At 38.8% G+C, this 26,358-nt stretch overlaps 1 protein-coding gene and 1 pseudogene across 54 annotated transcripts in view; one reads left to right on the plus strand and one right to left on the minus strand.

Moving 5' to 3' along the window:
• Positions 1 to 26,358, plus strand: part of ERC1 (ELKS/RAB6-interacting/CAST family member 1) — a 505,975-nt gene that overhangs the window by 153,296 nt on the left and 326,321 nt on the right. Inside the window, exon 1 of one of the 54 annotated variants that reach the window (XM_017019074.2) lies at positions 24,686 to 24,792. The exons of the other annotated variants lie outside the window; for them this stretch is intronic. The gene's annotated coding sequence lies outside the window, so the exon portion shown is untranslated. Of the gene's footprint in view, positions 1 to 24,685; positions 24,793 to 26,358 lie in introns of those variants that run through there. 54 annotated transcript variants of the gene reach the window in all.
• HTR1DP1 (5-hydroxytryptamine receptor 1D pseudogene 1) lies at positions 9,003 to 9,783 on the minus strand (annotated as a pseudogene).

Below are 26,358 nucleotides of genomic sequence, written 5' to 3' on the forward strand. Positions count from 1 at the left end.
ACTCCTGGCCCTAAGCCATCTTCCCATCTCAGCCTCCCAAGGCCACTGCTCCTAGCTCTGTTTGGCTTTTGACTCGTGTGTGTGTGTGTGTGTGTGTGTGTGTGTGTGTGTGTGTGTGTGTGTGTGTTCAGACTTCTTAAATAAAGTGAATGTTTTAAGGCTTCTGGATTTTGTGACATATTACAAAAGTTGTATTTTAGAATATTTCTTATTTTCTAGTGATATTGATCTGTCTGTATCCAGTAACATTGTTTAAATTTTTGTGTTTTTGTGATATATGTTAATAGCTAATTCCTTCTAAGGTACGTTTCTTTTTCAGAAGTGCCCTAGCTTTTTTTTTTTTCTTGGCTATTTTTCCATTTGAAATTTAGAATCAGCTTTTATCATCTCCTGCCTTTAATTCTTTCTGTTGCATTTTTTATTGGGAGTACATAAAATTTGTAGTTATTAATTTATAGAGAATTGACAAGAATGGGGTATATCTTTCCATGAATTCATTTTTTGTTTCTCAGAAATGTTTTAATGTTTCCTTCATAATAGATTTTATACATTTATTAAGCTTCTTCCTAGGTTTTCTTTTTGTTATAAAGTGTTATATTTTTCATTACATCTTCTAACTGCTTGTTTTTTTTGTGCACATGAAGGCTTGTGATTTCTCTATATCAGTTTTGTACTTAGTCATCATACTGAATTCTCTTAAAGGTTTGGATTTTTTTTTAGTTTATTCTTTTGGCTTTTCCAAATATGTAGTGTTATCATTTCTAAATAATAATTATCTTCCTGTGTTCAGTTTTAATGTATGTGCCCCATTTCCTTCTCCTTCTACTTCTGTGTACCACACTACATGATACTGGACATCTCCACATTATACCTGATCTGAATGAGAATGCTTTTAGCTCTCTCCCACTAAAGTACAGTGCTTGCTTTTGTGTTAGAATTGATAGCTACATTAAGAAAGTATCCATCTAAATAAAGTGAATTAAAACTTAAACTTTTTTTTATTATTTTTTGTTTCAGTAGTTTTTGGAGAACAGGTGGTGTTTGGTGACATGGATAAGTTCTTGAGAGGTGGTTTTTGAGATGTTGGTGCACCCATCACCTGAACAGTGGACACTGTACCCAATGTGTAGTCTTTTTATCCCTCACCCATTCCCACTTCCCCTTGACTCCCCAAAGTTCACTGTATCTTTCTTATGCCTTTGCATCCTCATAGCTTAGCTCCCACTTGTAAGTGAGAACATGCAATGTTTGGTTTTCCATTCCTGAGTTACTTCACTTAGAATAATGGTCTCCAACTCCATCCAGCTTGTTGCGAATGCCATTATTTCGTTCCTTTTTATGGCTGAGTAGAATTTTGTGGTATATATATATATATATATACGTGTATATATATACGTATATATATATATACACACCACATTTTCTTTATCCACTTGTTGATTGGTGGGCATTTGGGCTGGTTCCATATTTTTTGGAATTGCGAATGTGCTATTATAAACATGCCTGTGCAAGTGTCTTTTTCGTATAATGCCTTCCTTTCCTCTGGGTAGATACCAGTAGTGGGATTGCTGGATCAAATGGTAGGTCCACTTTTAGTTAAGGAATCTCTATACTGTTTTCCACAGTGGTTGTGCTAGTTTGCATTCCCACCAGCAGTGTAAAAATGTTCCCTTTTCACCACATCCATGCAAATATCTATTTTTTTATTTTTAAATTATATCGCATTGTGGTTTTGATTTGCATTTCACTGATAATTAGTGATGCAGAGCTTTTTTTTTTTGAGATGGAATCTTGTTCTGCCGCCCAGGCTGGAGTGAAGTGGTGCAATCTCGGCTCACTGCAACCTCCGTCTCCCGGGTTCAAGCAATTCTCCTACCTCAGCCTCCTGAGTAGCTGGGATTACGGGTGCTCGCCACCACGCCCCACTAATTTTTGCATTTTTAGTCGAGACGGGGTTTCACCATGTTGGCCAGGCTGGTCTTGAACTCCTGATCTCAGGTGATCCACCCGCCTCGGCCTCCCAAAGTGCTGGGATTACAGGTGTGAGCCACCGCACCCAGCCCTTGTTGAGCTTTAGTATGTTTGTTGGCCATTTGTATATCTTCTTTTGAGAACTGTCTATTCTTTTGAGAATTGTCTATTCATGTCCTTAGCCCACTTTTTGATGGGATTATTTGTTTTTTACTTGATGATTTGAATTCTTTGTAGATTCTGGATATTAGTCCTTTGTCAGTTGCATAGTTTGTGAATATTTTCTCCAATTCTGTAGGTTGTCTGTTTACTCTTCTGACTATTTCTTTTGCTGTGCAGAAACTTTTTAGTTTAATTAAGTCTCATCTATTTATCTTTTTGTTGCATTTGCTTTTGGGTTCTTGTTCATGAAGTCTTTGCCTAAGCTGACATCTAGAAGAGTTTTTCCAGTGTTATCTTCTAGAATTTTTATGGTTTCAAGTCTTAGATTTAAGTCTTTGAGCCATCTTGAGTTGATTTTTGTATAAGGTGAGAGATGAAGATCCGGTTTCATTTTTCACATGTGGCTTGCCAGTTATCCCAGCACCATTTGTTGAATAGGGTGTCATTTCCCTGCTTTATGTTTTTGTTTACTTTGTCAAAGATCAGTTGGCAGTAAGTGTCTGGCTTCATTTCTGGGTTCTCTATTCTGTTCCATTGGTCTGTGTGCCTGTTTTTATACCAGTACCATGATTGGTTTTGGCGACTATAGCCTTGTATAGTTTGAAGTTGAGTAATGTGATGCCTCCACATTTGTTCTTATTGCTTAGTCTTGCCTTGGCTATGCAGGCTCTTTTTTGGTTCCATATGAATTTTAGGATTGTTTTTTCTAGTTCTGTGAAGAATGATGATGGTATTTTGATGGCAATTTCATTGAGTGTGTAGATTGCTTTTGGCAGTGTGGTAATTTTCACAATATTGATTCTACCCATCCATGAGCATGGGATGTGTTTCCATTTGTTTGTGTCATCTGTGATTTCTTTCAGCAGTTTTGTAGTTTTCCTTGTAGAGGTCTTTCATTTCCTTGTTTAGGTATTTTACTGGTTTTTTTTTTTTTTTTTTTTTTTTTGCAGTTATTGTAAAAGGGGTTGAGTTCTTGATTTGATTCTCAGCTTGGTAACTATTGATGTGTAGTAGTGCTGCTGATTTGTGTACATTAATTTTGTATCCTGAAACTTTACTGAATTCATTTATCAGATCTAGGAGCTTTTGGATGAGTCTTTAGGGCTTTGTAGTTATATGACCTTATCATCAGCAAACAATGATAGTTTGACTTCCTCTTTACTGATTTGGATGTCCGTGATTTCTTTCTCCTGTTTGATTGCTCTGACAAGGACTTCCAGTACTGTTTTTTTTTTTTTTAAATTTTATTATTATACTGTAAGTTCTAGGGTACATGTGCACAATGTGCAGGTTTGTTACATACGTATGCATGTGCCATGTTGGTGTGCTGCACCCATTAACTCGTCATTTAGCATTAGGTATATCTCCTAATGCTATCCCTCCCCCAACCCCCACCCCACAACAGTCCCCGGAGTGTGATGTTCCCCTTCCTGTGTCCATATGTTCTCATTGTTGAATTCCCACCTATGAGTGAGAACATGCAGTGTTTGGTTTTTTGTCCTTGTGATAGTTTGCTGACAATGATGGTTTCCAGTTTCATCCATGTCCTTACAAAGGACACAAACTCATCATTTTTTATGGCTGCATAGTATTCCATGGTGTATATGTGCCACATTTTCTTAATCCAGTCTATCGTTGTTGGACATTTGGGTTGATTCCAAGTCTTTGCTATTGTGAATAGTGCCGCAATAAACATACGTGTGCATGTGTCTTTACAGCAGCATGATTTATAATGCTTTGGGTATATACCCAGTAATGGGATGGCTGGGTCTGTTGAATAGAAGTGGTGAAAGTGGGCATCCTTATCTTGTTCCAGTTCTCAGGGGAAATGCTTTCAACTTTCCCCCGTTCAGCATAATGTTGGCTGTGGCTTTGTCATAGATGGCTTAAGGTATGTCCCTTGTATGCCAATTTTGCTGAGGGTTTTAATCATAAAGGGATGCTGGATTTTGTTAACTGCTTTTTTGGGGTCTATTGAGATGATCATCTGATTTTTATTTTATTTTATTGGTATTAGTTTTGATCTTTCAATAGTAATATTTTCAAGTAATAGACTTAATAGTTTCAAAACATTTTTCACTTCTCATGCACTTGATCATTGTATATTTTTCTCCCATTGTGCTTCTCATACATTTACTTCTTATTAGGCACAATAACATGTTGGTAAGAAATATGACCAGACAACTTTTAGTGGATTAGAAGTTACTTGTAATTTTTACTATGATTAATAATGCGTAAGCCTTTTGATTCCATTTCCTATTAAACTTTTCTTTAAGTGTAGGATATTATTAGTAAAATACGAATTTTTAAAATTTCGCTGGTTATTGCAGTTGTGGAGTTTGTGAGGAGGGGAGTGATTTAATTATTTGATTTCATACAGTGCAAGTTTCTGAAGGCATCTGGATGCACAAAGACTCGATTCACCACTGTGCCAGCAGCCTGTTTGTTGCTCTAGGCTGATTATACCCAAAATGTTGGTGACATGATGGATTATCACTTTCATTAGGTCATAAGTGTTAGGGGCATATATTTTACTTTTATAACATTTGTTTTTCAGCTCCTATTTTCTTTGCTCTCATTCTATAAGGATTACTTCATTTAAAACCAAAGTGTTGAAAGATTGCGTGGGTCTTCAGTCATTAAACTTTGCCTTTCAGATCATGAGAACATGACAGCAAGCTACTAAAAAAGCCTTAGATGATTAATGTTACTGGAAGAAAAGATATACTGGTTAGAATTCAAAGGTTGTTTGGAAGTAACGCATTGCTTATTTTTAACTAGGTAAAAATTTTTAGAAAAGTTTTTGTATTAGTCCATTTTCACACTGCTATAAAGATACTACCTGAGACTAAGTAATTTATGAAGAAAAGAGGTTTAATTGACTCACATTTCCATATCTGAGTCGCTAGGGAGGCTTTGGGAATCTTATAATCATGGCAGAAGGTGAAGGGGAAGCAAGGCACGTCTTACATGGCAACAGGAGAGAGACAGACACACACACACACATATCATGCAAATCTTGTATATTTTTTCTTTGTCCTTCCTCTTCATCCTTCACAGAAGGCAGCAGAGGATCAGTAATTGTGCTGTCTTAGTACACCACACTGCCCCAGTAATTCATCATGTTACAAACTTTTATGTGTCTTAAAACTTACCAGATAGTACAACTGTTTTCAAAATTGGTTTATGTTATTAGTGCTTCTTTTTTATTTTATTTAATTAATTATTTTTTGAGACTGAGTCTCACTCTGTTACCCAGGCCGGAGTGCAGTGGCGTGATATTGGCTCCCTGCAACCTCCGCCTCCCGGGTTCAAGTGATTCTCCTGCCTCAGCCTCCTGAGCAGCTGGGATTACAGGCACCTGCCACCTCGCCCAGCTAATTTTTGTATTTTTAGTAGAGACGGGATTTCGCCATGTTGGTCAGGCTGGTCTCAAACTTCTGACCTCAGATGATCCTCCCGCCTCGGCCTCCCAAAGTGCAGGGATCACAGGCATGAGCCACCAAGTTTGGCCTAGTACTGCTTTGTAGACAATTACCTTTATGCCTGTTATTTTCAGTGCTTAGATCCTTCCCATTCTGTGTACTTTTTTTGTTGACGTTACTGTATTAAGGTGGTCAGAATCAACATTTGTGATGTATTTCCAGCACCATTGTTGGCTGATAAAATAGAGATAGCTTTAAATTTAGTATCCATAAAAAATAAAATGAATACCGTAGGTTTAGAGAAGTTTAAAGTTCTCAAGGGATCTATGTATTTTTTAAAAATTATATAAAAATAACTTTAAAGTAATCTTTTTTTCTTGGTAAAACGTGCAGTTTTATGTATTTTTAGGCAGGAGTAACAACTTTTTCCACATTTCCATCCAGAGAACAAAGGTCAAAACAGCATTTATTATTCTAGCTATAGTTTTACTGTTTAAACTTTTGAAATTTTGTGTAGCACCATTGAGAGAAGATTAGTGCTTACAGCTGAAACTTAGTTTTAATACAGTATCATATATACATATATATTGGTTGATTTGTTTTTGAGACAGGGTCTCACTGTGTTGCCCAGGCTGGAATGCAGTGGTGCAATTATGGCTCACTGCAACCCTTGTGTCTGGAGCTCAAGCAGTCCTCCTACCTCACTTCTTGAGTAGCTGGGACTACAGACACATGCCACCATGCCCAGCTAATTTTTTGTATTTTTTGTAGAGATGGGGTTTCACCATGTTGGCCAGGCTGGTCTCGAACTCCTGGACTGAAGTGATCTGCCCACCTCGGCCTCCCAAAGTGCTACGATTACAGGCATGAGCCACCATGCCAGACATCTTTTTTTCATTTTTTGTTATCATTTATTTCTGAAACTCAGCCAATATGATGTATAGAGACAAATACATAGATATTGACTGGCAAAAAGTCATGGAGATAAAGTGTATTACTTGAACAAGACTTCAGATTGAATATTATTATTCTTTAGTTTTCATTCATTTGCCCGCTTTGTGAGGTATTAGGAATGACATGGGTGGTGGTGGATACAACATAGAAAAATTTCACTTGCTTAATATTACTTGAACTAATCTCTGGGACCATAGTCCCTTGGCCATCACCAAGACTGAGAAGAATCGAATCAAGATTTTGCTTTAGGGGAAGGTTGTTTTGAATATCTTAGGGGGATTTACAGTGCACTCTCCTGTAGCTTACATTGCAAAGCATTCTGGCATGGGATAAGATGTTCATAACTCTGTGTGTTGTCTTTAAACAGAGTCTTTGAAGCAGTTCCCTCAGACAGCACAGGACATTTTCCTACTGAAGGAACTCAGATGCAGTTTAGGCATACTTATATGTGGAAACTATCCATCTCATAGTTTACTACTGAACCCTGAATTAGCTGGTAGCAACAACCCCCTACCCTCTCTCCCGCAGTCAGAGGCTTCTCCTGATAGCCATGGCAGTAAAAATAGAACAGTAGAACTAAAATATTTTCCAGAAGCAGAACATATTCATAGGGAAAGGATGAATTCAAAGTTATTTACAACTCTTTTATCTTCAAACCATTACATATAAATTGATCAAATAAAAATAGCTAGTCTAATGTGTTTTGAGCAGGTATTACCATTTTTATTTATTATTTATATTGCTTATTTTTGAATCATGATATTTCAGGCTTTTTATTTGATGAGTCAACATCTTAAGATTCCTAATGAGAATGGAATATGAAAAATAATTGGGTCATTGTTAACAATGATAAGTCATTTTGACAGTATGTGTACTTGATATGATCAATGATACTTCAGCTCTGTGGTTCTCTTCCCCAAAATGCACAACCCCAGTCCAATTATGAACAAAACAGTAGACAAATCCTAGTTAAGAAACATTCCACCAAACAACTGACTAGTAGTATTCAAAACTGCCAAGCCTCCAAAAACTAGGAAAGTCCAAGAAACTGTCACAGCCAAGAAGAGCCAAGGAGACATGCCATCCAAACGTAATGACATATCCCAGGCAATATCTTGGAACAGAAAAATGGCAGCAGACAGAAACTAAGGAAATGCGAATAAAGCACGGACTCTTGTTAAGAATAATGTATCCGTGTTGATTAATTATGACAAATGTGTCATACTAATGTAAGATGTTAACAGTGTGAAATCTGGCCTCTGGGTTCCCAGGAACTCTCTGTATCACCTTCTCTGTACCATCCTCACCTCTCTGCAAATCCAAAACTATTCTAAACAAAAAGTGCATTTAAAAAATCAATTCAAATTTGGCAGTGTATTAGGGTTAAGAATAATAAAGTAACAGTGATTTTGAGAGAGCTCAAAAATAAAAAATTTGGAATGGCATTCTTTTCAAAGCTTGGTGGACCCAAAACCTATAAATACTTCAGTGGGGGAGATCAGGGATTTTACCTTCGGAACATTAAGGTTGTATGAATTTATTGGGGAAGAGGGAAGGCTACAAAGTAGTCAACCTAATTCTATTTGTCTTCTTTGCCCCTGGCTTCCAGATCTCTCTCCAAGTCACCATAGACCATGTGCACCCCAATATTGAATATCTCATGAACAACCAGGACAGATTTGATCTAAGAAAGACTCAATGCAAGAAATCCCTGTTATATTCCAGTGGAGAGTGTTATGTGGAATGGACCCCTCCATTTGAACTCTTAAATTCTGTTTCAATTCAGGTCATTATTCTCCTCTGCTTTCCTTGGAGGTTTATACAAATCTTAGGTACACCAGGAAACCATCCTTTGAGCCAGGGTTCTTTCTCAGTGCCAGGCACTTTTCTATGTGAATTATATCAACAGGTAACCCTGTGAACCATGTTTCTACCTAACGCTGTTGACAAATTTCAGTCCTGTTTCATTTCACACAACTGCCCAACTTGGTGGATCAGAAGACAACAGGTAAAGATAACCAAGTAGCCACCAAGTAAGACTAGGAGGCTTTCCGCAAAAAAGACAACTTTCTGAAATGCTTGGTGAAACTGTTCATTAGACAGAATGTACATCACTGGATTGATGATGGAGTTTAAAAATAGCTCAGCAAGGCTGGGCGCGGTGGCCCACGCCTGTAATCCCAGCACTTTGGGAGACCGAGGCAGGTGGATCACGTGAGGTCAGGAGTTCGAGACCAGCGTGGCCAACATGGTGAAACCCTGTCTCTACTGAAAATACAAAAAATTAGCTGGGAGTAGTGGCAGGTGCCTGTAATCCCAGCTACTCGGGAGGCTGAGGCAGGAGAATTGCTTGAACCTGGGAGGCGGAGGTTGCAGTGAGCTGAGATTGTACCATTGCATTCTAGCCTGGGAGACAAGAGTGAGACTTGGTATCAAAAAGAAAAAAAAAAAAAAGCTCAGCAAGATGAAGATGTCTTAATATGGTGGTATCTTGGCTGGCAGAGAAACAATAAAGAGAGGCAGCCAGCAGATGATAAAAGCCCCTAAAATGATCCCCAGGGTTTCTGTGGCTTTCCTTGTTTGAAAGTAAATTTCCTGTTGTACTAGGACACTATAAGCATGCTTGATTTTCATGTGATTAACAAGCAGAGGAGAGCCAGTTAAGCGCCTTTGCCTCTCATGGAGGCTGGGGTTGAGGAAGAAGAGTGAGCTGTGATGACCTGGGCAGTGGTGCTGTGATGATGGCTTCTGGATGTTCTTGTTGGGCAATGTGTGAAGATGATGAACAACACAACCAAAATGTAGAAGGTCTTACATGTGGAGTAGGTGGTGCAAGAGGTCTAGGAGAAGAGCACTGGGATAGAGATACAATTTGAGATGGCCCATTTACTATACTACAGGGCATTGGTGATGGCCCAGTACCTGGTCAGAGCAACAGACAGAAATATCGGTTGGAGGCCATGTAGCACGTGATGCTAGAAGACAGCCAGATGTTGCACAGGAGTTGGCCAAATTTCCAGGTGTGTGTGATGGTCTATGTGATGCTCATGGATATGAACAAGGAGCCAGTGAGATAGTTGGCTGGTGTATATAGCTTCCTGGTGAGGAAGATGGTGGTAAGCAGAAAGGTGTTGGAGAGAGCTGTTGTCAGTGCGATGATGGAAAGGACCACAGCAAGAGATCTCTAGCCCCTGGAAGTTCCCAGCTCCTAAGCCTCCGGTATTTTTGTAGTATCGAGGGATCCGTTGGAGGCCTCCTGGAGGATGTCTTCCATTGGATGGTTTTGTGAGGACATTCTAGGGAGCTTTCTCTTCCACAGTCATAGCTTCTCTTTTCACAGTTGTCTGTAAAAGGTCATCTTTCCATTTCCTACTTCTGGGAACCGTACATCAGAAGAGCAAACCACAACAGAAAATCTCCAAGGCTTGATTACATGAAGAACACTGAGGTGACTCCTAGCTACAGTTAAAGGCTTTTCCCAAATCAGATTAATCCCAAGATGTCTCTCTGTTCTAGAACTCTGATAGGCACATGCTGAATATGTTAGACAATTGCAGGTTATCACAGCACTGTGGGCAAAGCTCCACAATTTCTTGCCTTTGGTATTTTGACTCTTTTTAAGGCTTGAGACTTATACGTGTTTAACTGTGCCTTCAGAATATTTCCCATCCTATTCCAAAGAGATTGTGGATTTCAGGTTGCTGCCTGGGAGCTTTTAAAATTAGAGACAAAAGGGAATACCAGCTTATTCAGAGAAGCAGTCCAGTCAACAGCTCACAGTTTTCCTAGGTGAATCCTGACATATGATTGGTACTTAATTTTGGTTCCTTTTCTACTGACTGTTTTTGAGCCTGAAAAGACAAACATTCCAGTTACCAAAGCTTGAAGAATGCATGAACTCGGAGAAGGGAAAACAAACGGATCACTGTGAGTTTGCCAAGCGGGGCAGGTGTTCGAAGCCCCTCCCTGGCCGTGCGTGTGGAATGCTGGGCTTGCCCTCCTGGGCCCTCCTTTCTTCACATGGTCGGATTTTGGCCTACATAATCACAGGCCCCAGCCCTGCGCCTTCCCCTGGCCCTTTCCCTTCCTGCACTTTTGGGATACTCCATTTCTTTTTTTGTTAATTAATAACTTTATTCGTTTGGAGTAGTTTGGGAAGTTCCCAAGTGTACCTGAATAATGTACATTGTATTCAATAGGTAATTTTTCATTTCTCCCCTGCCTGCCTCCCCCTGCTCTGAGTCTCTAGTGTCCGTTATACCACTCTGTATGCCTTTGGGTACTCAGCACTGCCTCCCTCTTATGAGTGAGAACATGCAGTATTTGGTTTTCCATTCCTGAGTTACTTCACTTAGGATGATGGCCTCCAGTTCCATCCAGGTTGCTGCAAAAGACATGATTTCATTCTTTTTTTCATGGCCGAGTAGTATTCCATGGTGTGTGTGTGTATGTATATGTATATGTATATGTATATGTATATGTATATGTATATGTGTATATATACACATATACATGTATATATACACACACACGTGCATATATATGTGTGTGTGTATATATATATACACACATACCCATGTGTGTTTATACACACACACACACACACACACACACACTTTCTGTCTCTTGCCATATACAAAAATTAACCTAGGTGGATTAAAGACTTAATCTAAGACCCGAAACCATAAAAATTCTGGAAGATAACACAGGGAAAACTCCTCTGAACATTGGCTCAGGCGAAGGATTTATGACAAGGATCTCAAAAGCACAACAAAATAAAAATGAATAAATGGGACTTAATGGACTTAATTAAACTAAAAAGCTTCTGTACAGCAAAATAAATAATCAAAAGAGTAAATAGACCACCTACAGAATGGGAGAAAATATTTGCATCATATTCAACAAAATATTAATATCCACAGTCTACAAGGAACTTAAATCAACAAGAAAAAAAAATAATCCCATAAAAAATGGGCAAATAGCATGAATAGACATTTCTCAAAAGAAGATATACAAATGCCCAAAAATGTATGAAAAAATGCTCAGCATCACTAATCATCAGGGAAATGCAAATTAAAATGACAGTGAGATACCACCCTACCCCATCCAGAAGGGCTATTATTAAAAAGTTAAAAAATAATAGCTGGTATCATGGATGTGGTGAAAAGAGAACTCTTACACACTGTTGGAGCAAACGTAAATTAGTACAACCTTTATGGAAAACTGTATGGATATTTTTCAAAGAACTAAAAGTACATTTATCATTTCAGGCTGGGCGTAGTGGCTCACACCTGTAGTCCCAGCACTTAGGGAGGCCGAGGCAGATGGATCACCTGTGGTCAGGAGTTCAAGACAAACCTGGCAACATGGCCAACGTGGCGAAACCCCATATCTACTAAAAATAAAAAAATCTGATGGGCATATTGGTACGTGCCTGTAGTCTCAGCTACTTGGGAGGCTGAGACACGAGAATTGCTTGGACCTGGGAGGCAGAGGTTGCAGTGAGCCTGGATCGTGCCACTGCACTCACAGGGCGAGACTTCATCTCAAAAAAAAAAAAAAAAAAAAAAAAGATTTATCATTTCATCCAGCAGTCCCACTACTAGGAGTCTACCCAAAGGAAAAGAAGTCATTCTGAAAAAAAAGACATCTATGATATGGAATCAACCTAAGTGCCCATCAACCAATGAATGGATAAAGAAAATTAAACTTTCCTTTTTTTTTTTTGAGACGGAGTCTCGCTCTGTCGCCCAGGCTGGATTGCAGTGGCGCCATCTCGGCTCACTGCAAGCTCCACCTCCCTGGGTTCACACCATTCTCCTGCCTCAGCTTCCTGAGTAGCTGGGACCACAGGCACGTGCCACCACGCCCGGCTAATTTTTTGTATTTTTAGTAGAGACGGGGTTTCACCATGTTAGGTGGTCTCGATTTCCTGACCTCGTGATCTGCCTGCCTCAGCCTCCCAAAGTGCTGGGATTACAGGCGTGAGCCACCGCGCCCTGCTGATAAGTATTTTTTTAAAAGCCCTGAGAAATGACAATGTAGGATTTAAAAAATGACTTGTATTAACAGTATGAGAGTAATATGTGTTCAAGGTAAAAAAAAAATAAATAAATAAAAATAAAAATTACCAAAACATATGGAGTGAAATTAAAGTTCCTTCTCCCATCCTTTGCTCCTCTCAGTGCAGTTCTTTAGGGTTATTAACTGTTGTTAACAGTTCTTTGTGTGCCGTTTCATAAAGTTTCTATGCATATCAAGCATTTATGTGTTATATACCTTTTAAAAAACAACTGGAATCATACTTTTTATTAATTTAAAAATAAACATTTTAATATCATCTTATATACAGCTTTATCTCATCTTAAAAAATATCTACATGGTTTTCTGAATCATACTTCTACCATAATTTAACTAAATTTAACCTAAGATTTACAGGTAGATGAAGATAGGGGTTTTTCTTATTTTATTTTATTTATTTTATTTTTTTGAGACAGAGTCTCACTCTGTCGCCCAGGCTGGAGTGCAGTGGTGCAATCTTAGCTCACTACGGCCTCTGCCTCCCAGGTTCAAACAGTTCTCTCCTGCCTCAGCCCCCTGAGTAGCTGGGATTACAGGCGCGCACCACCACACCTGGCTAATTTTTGTATTATTAGTAGAGAGGATTTTACCATGTTGGCCAGCCTGGTCTCGAACTCCTGACCTCATGATCTGTTCACCTCAGCCTCCCAAAGTGCAGGGATTACATTTGTGAGCCACCACGCCTGACCTCTTGTTGATTATAGTAGTATAACGCATAATGACATAACCGTCTCATTCATGAGTTGATATTGTATGCGTGTAAAATGTCGATAGCTGTTTAATTATCCACCAAGAGTTTTCCACTGATTTACACGGAGAATGTTTTTTTGCACAGTTTCATTAAACATTTGTTATCAAACCTTTTTAAATTTCCACTGACTTGGTAGGCAATTCTGAAGTGTCTCTTTTCTTGCTTAGTATTTATTTAAAGTTGAGTTCTCATTGAGCATTTTTTCATAGGTTTTTGTTTTGTTTTAATTGGGAGGTATATGTTAATTTCTTTTCCATATTTTTCTGTTTGATGATGTATTTTTTCTTGTTGATTTATAGGAAGTTTTTCCTCTAGTAAATACATTGGTCTATTTCCTTTTATGTTTTACAAATACATTTTCCTGTTTTTTGTTTTTTGTTTTTAACTTCATTTATGTATTTATTTGGGGGTTTATGTCACCAAATTTAATAGTACTTTTCTTTATGTCCTCTCAGTTTTAGGTCACACTTTGAAAGTCCTTATACATGCCAAAGTCATTTTCATTTTTATATTTTTTTGAGAAAGGCTCTCACTCACTCTGTCACCCAGGCTGGAGTGCAGTGTCTCAGTCTCAGCCCACTGCAACCTCTACCTCCCAGGCTCCAAGCCAACCTTCCACCTCAGACTCTCGAGTAGCTGGGCTACAGCCGCACACACCACCATGTCCAGCTAATTTTTTAGCTTTCTGTAGAGACAGGGTTTTGCCATGTGGCCCAGGCTGGCCTTGAACTGCCGGGCTCAAGCAGTCTGCCCTTGCCAAGGTTATTAAATAATTCATACATGCTTTTCTCTGGTACTTTTAAAGTTTCTTTTTATACATCTAAAAATTGGTTTATAAAATTTATATATTGCCGTAATGATTCAGTTTTATGTTTTTACATGTGGCTGGCCAGTTGTCATTATAGTATTTGTTAAATAATCCACCCCTTCTCTTCTGATTTGAAATGCCACAAATAAATTATCAGATTAGTAGATTGTTTTGCTATATTAATTTTATTTTTGCAGGAATTTCTCACTCTTCTCACTCATTTACTTTTTCAGATGAACTTTAGTATGATTTTGTCAAATTTTCCTCTTCCAAAAAATGAACTTGTTACTTTTTTTATTGAATGTGGTATCTCAGAAGTCAAGTGAAGAAAGGGTTTCAAAGAGGAGAGGATGATCAGATTTTTCAAATACTGCTGATGAGTTACAAAAAATGAAAATTGACCATTGGCTTTAATAAAGTGAAGATCCAAATATCTAAAAAACCATCATGCAGAAGAAAGATTAGACTTGTTCAATATGGCCCCACATTAACTCAATCAGCAGATACTCTAAGGAGTCAATTCTAAAGAGAGTCAAACTGTCCAAAACTGATAACACACTACCTGGGAGGAAATCAATTCATTCATTATAAGTGGACATATAGCAAAATTAAAGTGTAATCCGTCACTTTATCTAATTTTGCTATATGTCCAGTAGAGTGGGCAGAGTTTATAGTTTGTGCCTAGTTTCTCCTGTGATTATCTGTTACTTTAAACAATATTTTAAAACTTTCTGTGTCTTGATTTAACACGTTTAAAAATGAAGCCATGTTTATTGACTACTTTTTATTAAAAATAGTTTATTTATATTACCAATCCCCCTTCTTGATTTTAGTTGGTAAACTTTTGTTATATTTTGCTGAGTTCATAGTACTTTTCAGTTTTATATTGTGTTGTTTTTTGTAAAGGAGAAACATTGCTTACTGTAATTATGATTCATATTTAGCTTTTATTTCTGAATTTCAGTATATTTAATGCTCATAACTAGTCGTTAAAAACAGCTTAACTGTTCCCAGTTTTTTTGTTTTATTTATTTTTTTTTTGAGAAGGAGTTTTGCTCTTGTTGCCCAGGCTGGAGTGCAGTGGCATGATCTCGGCTCACCGCAACCTCGCCTCCTGGGTTCAAGCGATTCTCCTGCCTCAGCCTCCCAGGTAGCTGGGATTACAGGCATGCGCCACCATGCCCAGCTAATTTTTCTTTTCTTTTTTTTTTTTTTTTTATAGTTTTAGTAGAGATGGGGTTTCTCCATGTTGGTCAGGCTGGTCTCGAACTCCCGTCCTCAGGTGATTTGCCTGCCTTGGCCTCCCAATGTCCTGGGATTACAGGTGTGAGCCACCGCGCCTGGCTGTTCCCAAGTTTTAAACTTTAATTTTTGGTTGCCCAGGAACTTCTTTGAATTGTTTTGTATGAAGGGTTATGGGTGCTATCCCAATTCCTTGTTTGTTGACCATGTGTTTATGTTATCTTTTTATATTTTAAAAACCATTTCAGAGATACAAAAATGTATAGAGAATAATATACTGAGTATAATCACTCAAGTTAAGTAAACATTTCAAATATTGTTGAAGTTCATTGGCATATCTCTCCTTGATAGTACTCCTTTTTATTCTATCCCAGAGATTAATACTTGATTTTAGTATTTATACATGTTCAATAAGAGGAAGTACATATGGCAAATAAATATGAGAAAAATGTTCAACTATAATGAATGAATTGATTTCCTCTCAGGTAGCATGTATCAGTTTTGGACAGTTTTGACCCTATTTTGTTTAACCAGAATTGATTCCTTAGAGCCTTTGGCACCAGGGACCAATTTTGTGGAATACAATTTTTCCACAGGCCATGCTGCAGGGGACAGTTTTGGGATGAAACTGTCCCACGTCAGATCATCAGGCATTAGGATCTCATAAGAAACATGCCACCTAGATCCCTCGAATGCACACTTGACAGTAGGATTCACGCTCTTGTGAGAATCTAATGCTGCCACTGATCTGACAGGAGGTGGAGCTCAGGTGGTCACGCTCACTTGTCTCACCGCTTACTTCCTGCTGTGCGGCCCAGTTCCTAACAGGCCACAGACCGGCACTGGTCCATGGCCCAGGAGTTGGGGACCCCTGCCTTAGAGTATTTGCTGATTGAGATTAACTTGGGGCCATAGTGAATAAGTCAGATCTTTTTTCTGCATGATATTTAGATATTTGGAGCTTACTCTTTGGCAGCCCCCAAATCTCAATATCCTACGTGAAGTATTTTTATTCCCCTCATTGTTCTTATTTGCTTTGGTTATTTTTTCTGATGACTTTTATGTGTCTAAACTGATTTTTCTTCCATCTTGACTTGTTTAGTTAGGATTTTGGATCTAATTGCAAGAGAGATGATTAAAATGGGATTCATGTTCCGTTCACGGCCCTTAGCTGAAATGTGGGCTACTCAGTGAAACTCACTAACGTTCAGTTTCTTCATCTGTAGAGTGGATATAATAGCTACTTAAGGATGTTCTTGTTTAACGATGTAATGTGTATGAAATCATGCACCTTGGAACCTGTAAAGTGGTATATACTCAGGATATGAGGTATCAACATAATTTATTCTCATTAAATTTCATTCAGCCAATTACTCTGAATTTAGAATCATGGAGAATCTTTTGACTCTTGATTTGATTGTTTAGTCTAACAGTAATTTAGTCTGACAAGTCTTGATTTGACTAACAAATCGTTTAGACTAACAAATTGTTTAGCCTTGATTTGATTGAAGGATTGTCAATCCTTCAATTTCATGCCTTCTACCCATTTATAAACGTGCTCTGTATACTTTCGTATAGACAATAAAATGTTGAACAAGCCCCCAAAAGATTTAGGTGATACATTGTAAGAAACTGCTGATCAGATTGATATATCCATCACAACAATTCTAAAAGCTTTTTTTGTTGCCTGTAGAATTTTTTTTTGTAAGCTCACTTTGTTTGCAGGTCCAGACTTTTATAAATCTATATTCCTATTTGTCCTTCATGTATGTTCTTCAATAAGACCCTTAAAAATCTAAGATCAAGGTGAGCATGGTGGCTTACACCTGTAATCCCAGCGTTTTGGGAGGCTGAGGAGGGTGGATCACCTGAGGTCAGGAGCTTGACCCTGTCTCTACTAAAAATACAAAAAATTAGCTGGGCGTGGTGGTGCCCACCTGTAATCCCAGCTACTGGGGAGGCTGAGGCTGTAGAATTTCTGGAACCCAGGAGGTGGAGGTTGCAGTTAGCTGAGATCACACCACTGCACTCCAGCCTGGGCGAAAGAACAAGACTCTGCCAAAAAAAAAATCAAATCTAAGATCAGCCTGTAAAATTCCTTCTTCTTTAAATTTTCTTTTTCTTTTTGTAGAGACAAGGTCTCACTGTGTTGCCCAGGCTGGTATCCAAACTCCTGGTCTTAAGCAATGCTCCTGCCTTGGCCTCCCAAAGTGCTGAGATTACAGGCATGAGCCACTGTGCCCAGCCTGAAATTCCTTCTAATGATGATACCTTGATAGTGAACCACCTCAGGACCACCACCTACACATATTTTCCTAGCGTTCTAAGCAATGTATGCACTGGAATAGTCTTTGCTGTTTCTTCTTCTTTTTCCTTAATGAGTACATTTGTAGTTGTACAGTCAAAATTATGTTCTTGTGGGTCTCCCAGTCTTCCCAGTCTTTCTAAACCGTCCTCATTCCGCATAGTGTTTTCCACTATGTGCTAGGCAAAGACATATAGATGTGGTCTCTGCTCTCAGGAGTCCCAGAATTATGGGAGGTTAGAAGGTTATGATACGAATGGTATACGGTGGGGCAAAAAAACGAGGAATTTTAGATTTAGCCCTGTATGAAAGGAGTCTGAGGAAGTCTTAGGAGCTGAGTCTTGAAAGTTTGCAAGGTAGATGGAGAAGGGGGCATCTAAGCCTGGAGAGTGGTGTCAATAAAAACGAGGAGGGGTGTTCCTTTCCACCGTGTCATGCCCTGGCATTTCACTTCTGCTTTTAAACATTCGTAATATACGCTCTTAAAAATTTCTGGTAGAGCTCTGCATATGAATGCCGTTTCTGTCTCATTACGAACTCTGAAATCACTTGCTCCCTGGCAAAATTATACCCAATTTTTACCTAATGAGAAAAATTACAGTGAATGTAGTCATCTTTATTGACCTGTTAATTTAGGAAGCAGTTGAGTTGAGTTTTTTTCTCCTCTGTCCCAGAAGATTTTCAATCAAAAACTGTAGAAATTTATCTTCAGTGGGATATTGTGGTATAACTTTTAAGGTAGAACTTTAGGTATCCCTGTAGAGATGCCTTAATTCTGTACAAAAAAGCCTTAAATTCTGTACTTTGCTTCTTGATTCAGACACTTGTTCCCTAAGGAAGAAGAATATGGTAACACTACATTTATCCTTTTCTTGTTCTTTGGTGTCTACATTCTCTAATCATTTCTTTCATGAATATTATAACTGTATATTTAAGTAATATTTAAATATTGTAATATTTAGGGAGCAGTACTGAGAAACTATGTTATTTTGGCATTTATCTAGATATACTTAAAAGAAATTTTTTCTTCTGAGCACAATGGCAGTTATGGTAATCGCTGGGTTATAAGTTAGTCACATACTGTGGACTGTCTCTGGTTCTGTCTGGGCCACCACTGTCCACCCATAGTCTTCCTTGCTTTCTAAGTAGTATACATATTTGTATGCACTAGGGTAACCCAGTGCTTAGAGAATGAAACGAGACAATAGCAGATGGCCAAGCGTGCTGTACAATGGGATTAGTATTGGGCTCCTCCTTCCCAGGGTTCTCCCCTATGGTTTAAAGTAGTTCTGTGTTACAGTAAATTTCTTATCTTTATAATAAATCACTGACCTGGAAAATGTAATTGAGCATTTGAATCTGAGCTGCATTCAAAATCTGTGTTAAAATTGTACAGCTTCTTGCTTGATTGATTATAAATGATAATGTAGCTTGGAGTTTAATTTGCTTACACAGATGCTATCAACATTCCCTTCCATGCTTCTGTAACTTCTGTTTATTTCGTTTTGCTTGCATCTCCAGTTTCCTAGGTTTGTTTTTTTTTTTTGTCCTAGTTGGTTCTTTAAGTCTCTTCTATTTTGTTTTGGGTAGGAGGTCAGAAAGAATAGGTCCTTTGTATGTTCCGTTTGTTTTCTGTGAAGTCTTGGATAAGACAGTTGTTAGTTTGTTCACTTTTTCCATATCATAAAATCGGACAGGAGAGTAAGGTTGTTGTTTTTTTAATTAAAGACAATATTTACTAATATATTCTGAGAAAATATTTTATTTTTAAAATTGTGCCTTTTTATTTTTAATAAGGATCAATTCCTGTATTTTCTGAATGTTATTATTTTAAATCTTAACCCAGCTGTGAAGCAAGCTAAGTTTAGAGAAGACTGTGTCAGGCCTAATTGAACTTTACGTCTGAAACATAATTTAGTTAGATATTAGAATTTTTTCGTTTTCTTTCCTTTACTTATAATTGTCTAATAGAACTCACTTTGCAGTTCTTTGTTGATGGAGAATATGTATAGTTAAACTCTTGAAATATCATTTTATTGCAAAAACAATGCGCAGTAAATGAAGTTTGATTTGATGATTATATTTTTACTGGTAGCTAAGGAAATATACTCTGTGTAAATTTATTTGCTTCATACAACTTTTTTTCCCCTCCCTTTTTAAAAGTAAACCTTAAGGAAGTGGAGAGTTTAACTTGCAAAGTATTATTTAACTTCTGTATGTCAACAGGTTTCTGGTTTTAAATGATGCTGATCCTATACAAGTGATATTTTATAATTATTGAAGAATTATTCTCTTAGAAAGGGAGGTTATTTTTTTTACCTTGTTATAGTGTAAATCTTTTAATTATGATATGTTCCTTAGCAGTATTCCTTCCACTTCCAGAACACTCCTCTCCAAAAAATACTACAAAATAACAAAATACCCCCTCATCCCTACATTGTGATAATCTAGAAATAATAAACTTCAGATATAAGTGATTAAAACAACAATAAAATGGATGTATTGTGATAGATCTAGCAAACTCTATTGCTGCATGATAACTGCCCTAAAACGCAGTGGCATAAACAACCATTTTATTTTGCTTATTTATTTGTGAATCAGGAATTCCAGAAGGGCTCACATAGGTAGTTTGTTCTTGATTTGTGTATTTTCACCTGGAAGTGTCTATGATTGGATGATCTCCTACCAAGATGGCTTATTCACTTGCATATATTCTCTTTGCTCCTTAGCCTCTGTCTACATGGTGGTTTTTATTTTTATTTTCTTTATTTTTATTTTTTGAGATAGAGTCTCACTCTGTCACCCAGGCTGGAGTGCAGTGGCACAGTCTCAGCTCACTGCAACCTCTACCTCCTGGGTTCAAGCAATTCTCATGCCTCAGCCTCCCTAGTAGCTGGGATTACAGGCATGCAGCACCACACCTGGCTAATTTTTTTATTTTTAGTAGAGACGGGGTTTTGCCATGTTGGCCAGGCTAGTCTCAAACTCCTGGCTTCAAGTGATCCGCCTGTCATGGCCTCCTGAAGTGCTGGATTACGGGCCTCAGCCACCATGTCTGACCTACATGGTGTCTTTTGCCCCAGCTTCTGCAGGTGCCTTGGGTTCCTCGTGGCATGGGGAAAGTAGTCACACTTCTAATGTGGAAGCTGCTTCCAGATTTATAGATGTTAGAAGCAGAAGCTGCTTGGTCAGTTAAGGGTTATTCTTGAAAGTGGCTTGGAAGTGGCAGGTCACTTCTGTTGTATTCTGTTGGTCATAGTAGTCACAGAACCTGCCCTTTTTATTTTATTTTATTTTATTTTATTTTATTTTATGTTGTTATTTTATGTTATTTTATTTTGTTATTTTATTTTATGTTATTTTATTTTGTTATTTTATTTTATGTTATTTTATGTTATTTTATTTTTGAGACGGAGTCTCGCTCTGTTGCCCAGCCTGGAGTGCAGTGGCGCTATCTCAGCTCACTGCAAGCTCTGCCTCCCGGGTTCACACCATTCTCCTGCCTCAGCCTCCCAAGTAGCTTGACTACAGGCGCCCGCCACCGCACCCAGATAATTTTTTGTATTTTTAGTAGAGAAGGGTTTCACCGTGTTAGCCAGGATGGTCTCGATCTCCTGACCTCGTGATCCGCCCACCTCAGCCTCCCAAAGTGCTGGGATTACAGGCGTGAGCCACTGTGCCTGGCCAGAACCTGTCCTTATTAAAGCAGGGTGGTGGTGGTGTCAAGAATGGGGCTCCACCTTCTTCCTGAGAAGGGGTAGAGTTCATGGCAGAAGAGTATGTGAGATGGAAGACATTGTTGTGACCATTTTTGGAAAATATCTACTTCAGTAGAATAAAACATTGGATAAGGGGTTGGAAATCAAAGAGTGAGTTTTTTTTGTGCGGTATGGCAATAAAATTCTTACTCCCTTTTCTGTTGTCTTATGATATTGCAGCCTTATTAACCAGAATGGAAGTGGAATGTTTCTATTTCCATGTTCTGCTCAGTGTTTTAATCTGTTATTTTTAGGGTTTCTACTGTTATCTGTTGCTTTCAAACAAGCTACTCCAAACCAGAAAGAATTCTGAACAACTTAAGAGTTGTTTTACCTAATTCAGGAATTACCACAGAGTATAAATGTAATTCATAGGAAGAAAGTACAGAAGAATAAGGTATGTGGAAAGGAAGAGGACTAACAGAAGGTGAATTAATGCTACTTACTGATTTTGGCAATTCACCTTGGGTGAGAAGCACGACTGTCTAGATGGAAACTCTTGTGTATTAGTGATCTAACAAGAACCAGTGTGCTTGCTACAAGACTGCCTTTTAGAAGATAGAGGTGTGTATAGATGATACACAGAATGCAGGAGAATTTTTTTTTTTTTTTGAGATGGAGTCTCGCTCTGTTGCCCCGGCTGGAGTGCAGTGGCGCGATCTTGGCTCACTGCAAGTTCCGCCTCCCGGGTTCACGCCATTCTCCTGCCTCAGCCTCCCGAGTAGCTGGGACTACAGGCGCCTGCCACCATGCCCGGCGAATTTTTTTGTATTTTTAGTAGAGACGGGGTTTCACCGTGTTAGCCAAGATGGTCTTGATCTCCTGACCTCATGATCCACCCGCCTCGGCCTCCCAAAGTGCTGGGATTACCTCGGCCTCCCAAAGTGCTGGGATTACAGGTATGAGCCACCGCGCCTGGCGAGAATTTTTAAGAACATTAAGAAGAAATAAACATGGCTAAACTGTTTTGTGTTATTTGAGGGGGATAAAGCAAGATACATCTCAGAACTTAGAGTGTTTTCACAATTCGTTGATGGATATTGCTTTGACCTAGCACTGAGGGGTTAATTTGGATGGAATTTTTTTTCCAATCGAGCTAGAATTCACAGATCATAAAATTTACCATTTTAAACTATATGATTCAGTGGTTTTCAGAATATTTACAATGTTGTGCAACCATCATCACTGTCCAATTTTCATCACTTCAGAAAGAAACTCACACCTGCTGGCAATTACAACCCCTCATCCTCTGACAACCAGTAACCTCCTTTTTGTCTCTATGGATTTGCCTATACTGGATGAGACCTTCGACTGTGAACTTTTGAGCTAATGCTGAAATGAGTTAAGGCTTTGGGGGATATTGGTTTTGAAATGTGAAGACATGAGATTTGGGAGGGGCTGGGTCGAAATGATGTGGTTTGGCTGTGTCCCCACCCATATCTCATCTTGAATTGTAATAACCACAGTTCCCATGTATTGTGCGAGGGACCCAGTGGGAGGCAATTGCATCATGGGATGGGTCTTTCTCGTGCTGTTCTTGCAATAGTGAATAAGTCTCACGAGATCTGATGGTTTTATAAAGAGAAGCTCCCCTGCACAAGCTCTCTCTGTCTTTGCCTTGTGCCTTCCAAGCAAGTCACATGGTGGCTTGCCTTCCAACATGATTGTGAGGCCTCCCTATTCATGTGCAACTGTAAGTCCATTAAACCTCTTTTTCTTCCCAGTCTCAGATATGTCTTTATCAGCAGCATGAAAATGGACAAATACAGAAGGCTTTCAGTCTTCACCTTGAAGTATGATGTTGACTGTGGGTTTTTCATAGATGCTGTTTATCAGGTTGAGAATTCCCTTCCATTCCTAGCTTGTTGCATGTTTTTATCATAAAAAGATGTTGGATTTTATAAAATTCTTTTTCTGTATCTATTGAGATGATCATTTGGTTTTTCTCCTGTATTCTGTTAATGTGGTACATTATATTGATTGATTTTTGTATTTTGAAACTAACCTTGCATTCCTGGGTAAAGATAGATTTGTTTTTAAATAGCTTTGTGTTTTTCAGCTGGATGAATGTAGAAACTTGTTCTATCAGCATTATTATGGAGACAATAGAAGTGGACCTGAGAGAATATAGCCTTTGGATAAATGCTTAATTTTCAAGTGCTAAGGTGTAATATAAATGGACATATGCAAAGGCTTATATTGTAATATTTTTACATCATGGAAATAATTTTGACTCATTAAACATTATTTCTTTGGGCTTTTAAGTAACTTAGTGAATAATTTGAGGATCTGTGCTTATCTGTGTCGTTTCTCATCTGTTGTTAATACGCCACATTAATGTTCTCAGAGTCTTGCAAGTTCTAGTTGAGTGTTTTGACCGAGCACACATTTTAAACTTGAAAATTGATAATTATCAAGTCAATAAGGAAGGGTCAGATCCCTCTTCTGACAAAGATTGTTCTTAGTTGTTTCTCAGGAGATCCTGTAGCAGGAACTTGTCAGAGTAGTAAATACACAGACACATATCTAGAAAAAGACAAAAGATTTAGGGAAAAGTGCCTGGTCGCAGTTTTAAAGCAGAGTCAATATTTTCTTCTGCTTAAAAACTGCTTATAACTTGACATAAATTCTCTTACATTGCATTCTCATCTGTGGGAATGGCTGTTTGGTTAGATGCCCAGGTATCTGTCAACTCTAGTTGAGAAATTGAAGTAACTAACCACGTGAAGAAGTTATTAAATCAGACTCTGATGAAGCAGCCTTTTATGCTCTTCCTTTTTCCTGCTACACCAGTATGTATATCCTAACCAGAAAATAGCTTCAAGAATCAGACATCTATTTTGTTCTTTATCTGTTTTATCTTCCTGTAATTGTCAGACTTCCTCAATTTTTTCTCCTAATGATTTTTTTTTCCTAAAGGAGTTTTTCAGATTAGAAAAATCATGTAATTTTACAGAGAAAAATTTGCAAAATTCTATAAGATCTTTGGGCTTCTTTTTTCTTTTCTTTTTTTTTTTTTTTCCGAGATGGAGTCTCGCTCTGTTGCCCAGGCTGGAGTGCAGTGGCGTGATCTCAGCTCACTGCAACCTCCGCCTCCTGGGTTCCAGCAGTTCCCCTGCCTCAGCCTCCTTAGTACTCGGGACTACAGGCGCGCGCCACCACACCCTGCTAATTTTTTATTTTTACTGCAGACGGGGTTTCAGCATGTTGGCCAGGATGCTCTCGATCTCCTGACCTTGTGATCCACCCACCTTGGCCTCCCCAAGTGCTGGGATTGCAGGCGTGAGTCACCGCGCCCCGTCAGCCTTTGGGCTTCTTATATACAGTGCATATAGGTAAGAAACTGACATTTGGATTTGTTTCATTGCATCCCATTCAGGCTGAACTCTGCCTTATACACAGCAAATTTGGTATTTTTATTTTTTTTGAGACAGGGTCTCATTCTGTCACCCAGGCTGCCGTGTAGTGGTGCGATCGTGGCTCACTGCAGCCTCAACTTCCTGGGCTCAGGTGATCCTCCTACCTCAGTGCTGCAAGGAACTAAGACTACAGTTGTACAGCACCATGCCTGGCTGACTGTTAATAGTTTTTGTAGTAGAGATGGGTTTCGCCATGTTGCTTAGGCTAGTCTCAAACTCCTGGGATCAAGTGATCTACCCGCGTCAGCCTTATGAAGTGCTGGGATTACAGGTGTGAGCCACTGCACTGGCCAAATTTGGCACTTCTATAAAGCAGCTAAGCAAACAACTTTAAATGAAGTGACTGGTCTTTTTTTTTTTTTTTTTTTTTGGAGGAGGAGTCTTGCTTTTGTCGCCTAGGCTGGAGTGCAATGGCGCAATCTTAGCTCACTGCAACCATCGCCTCCCAGGTTCAAGCAATTCTCCTGCCTCAGCCTCCCGAGTAGCTGGGATTACAGGTGCCCACCACCACACCCGGCTAATTTTTTTGTATTTTTAGTAGAGATGGGGTTTTGCCATGTTGGTCAGGCTGGTCTTGAACTCCTAACCTCAGATGATCTGCCCGCCTCGGCCTCCCAAAGTGCTGAGATTATAGGCGTGAGCCATCGTGCCGGCTGTGACGGGTCATTTTAAACAACATTCTGGATTCTTGAAAAGAATGCCACCGATTAATAATTTGTAACTTCTCTTATGCTTTTGACAGTCTGATGAAAGCTATGGGCTTTCTCCAGGTAAAAGTGTGCATAGTTCATTTGTGTGAACTGAGATATAATATACACCTTAAAGTTTATCCATGAACTTCTGATTAAAAACACCCACCTTTCACCATGACATGGTGAAGAAAAAAATAATCAGAAACACTCACCATCTATGGAACAACCAAGTTGGTGATATACACTGGTTTCTAGGTTTTACAAAATCATAAAATATGTGTATGGTTCAAATACAACAGAAATTCATGGCAACTACAATTTCATGTTAATTATAATTTAACTAGAAAGAGTGTAGCTGTTGGGTATGGTGGATGCTGCGATGATCGATGCAACCTAGGTCTCTCCTGATTGTTGAAGGACTTATTTCCCCAGATCGCTGGAAGTGTTATCAACAGAAAGCCCTCCACTTTCCCTAGAGATTGTCTTAGCTAAAGACACCACCTTGCCCGAGGGCAAGCCCCCTCCCATGGACATCCAGTGATTGATCCTTATGAGGTGCCATGGTTTGAATTCCTTCCCCCTACTTGGGACAACAGCTTCAGAGCTCCTCGTGGGGTTGTCAGAATCCTTTGGGACTTCGTGGCAGCTGAATCGCTCCCTCTGTACAATCCTCATTTTTCTCCTCCTATCTACTGACTCCGATCCCAAAGAGCACCGTCTAATAAACTTCTTGCATAATAATGTCTGTCTCAGGGTCTGCTTTCCGGGAAACCCAGTCTTGGGTAGAATA

The sequence above is a fragment of the Homo sapiens genome, chromosome 12 (assembly GCF_000001405.40).
Source record: "Homo sapiens chromosome 12, GRCh38.p14 Primary Assembly".
Lineage (NCBI taxonomy): Eukaryota > Metazoa > Chordata > Mammalia > Primates > Hominidae > Homo > Homo sapiens.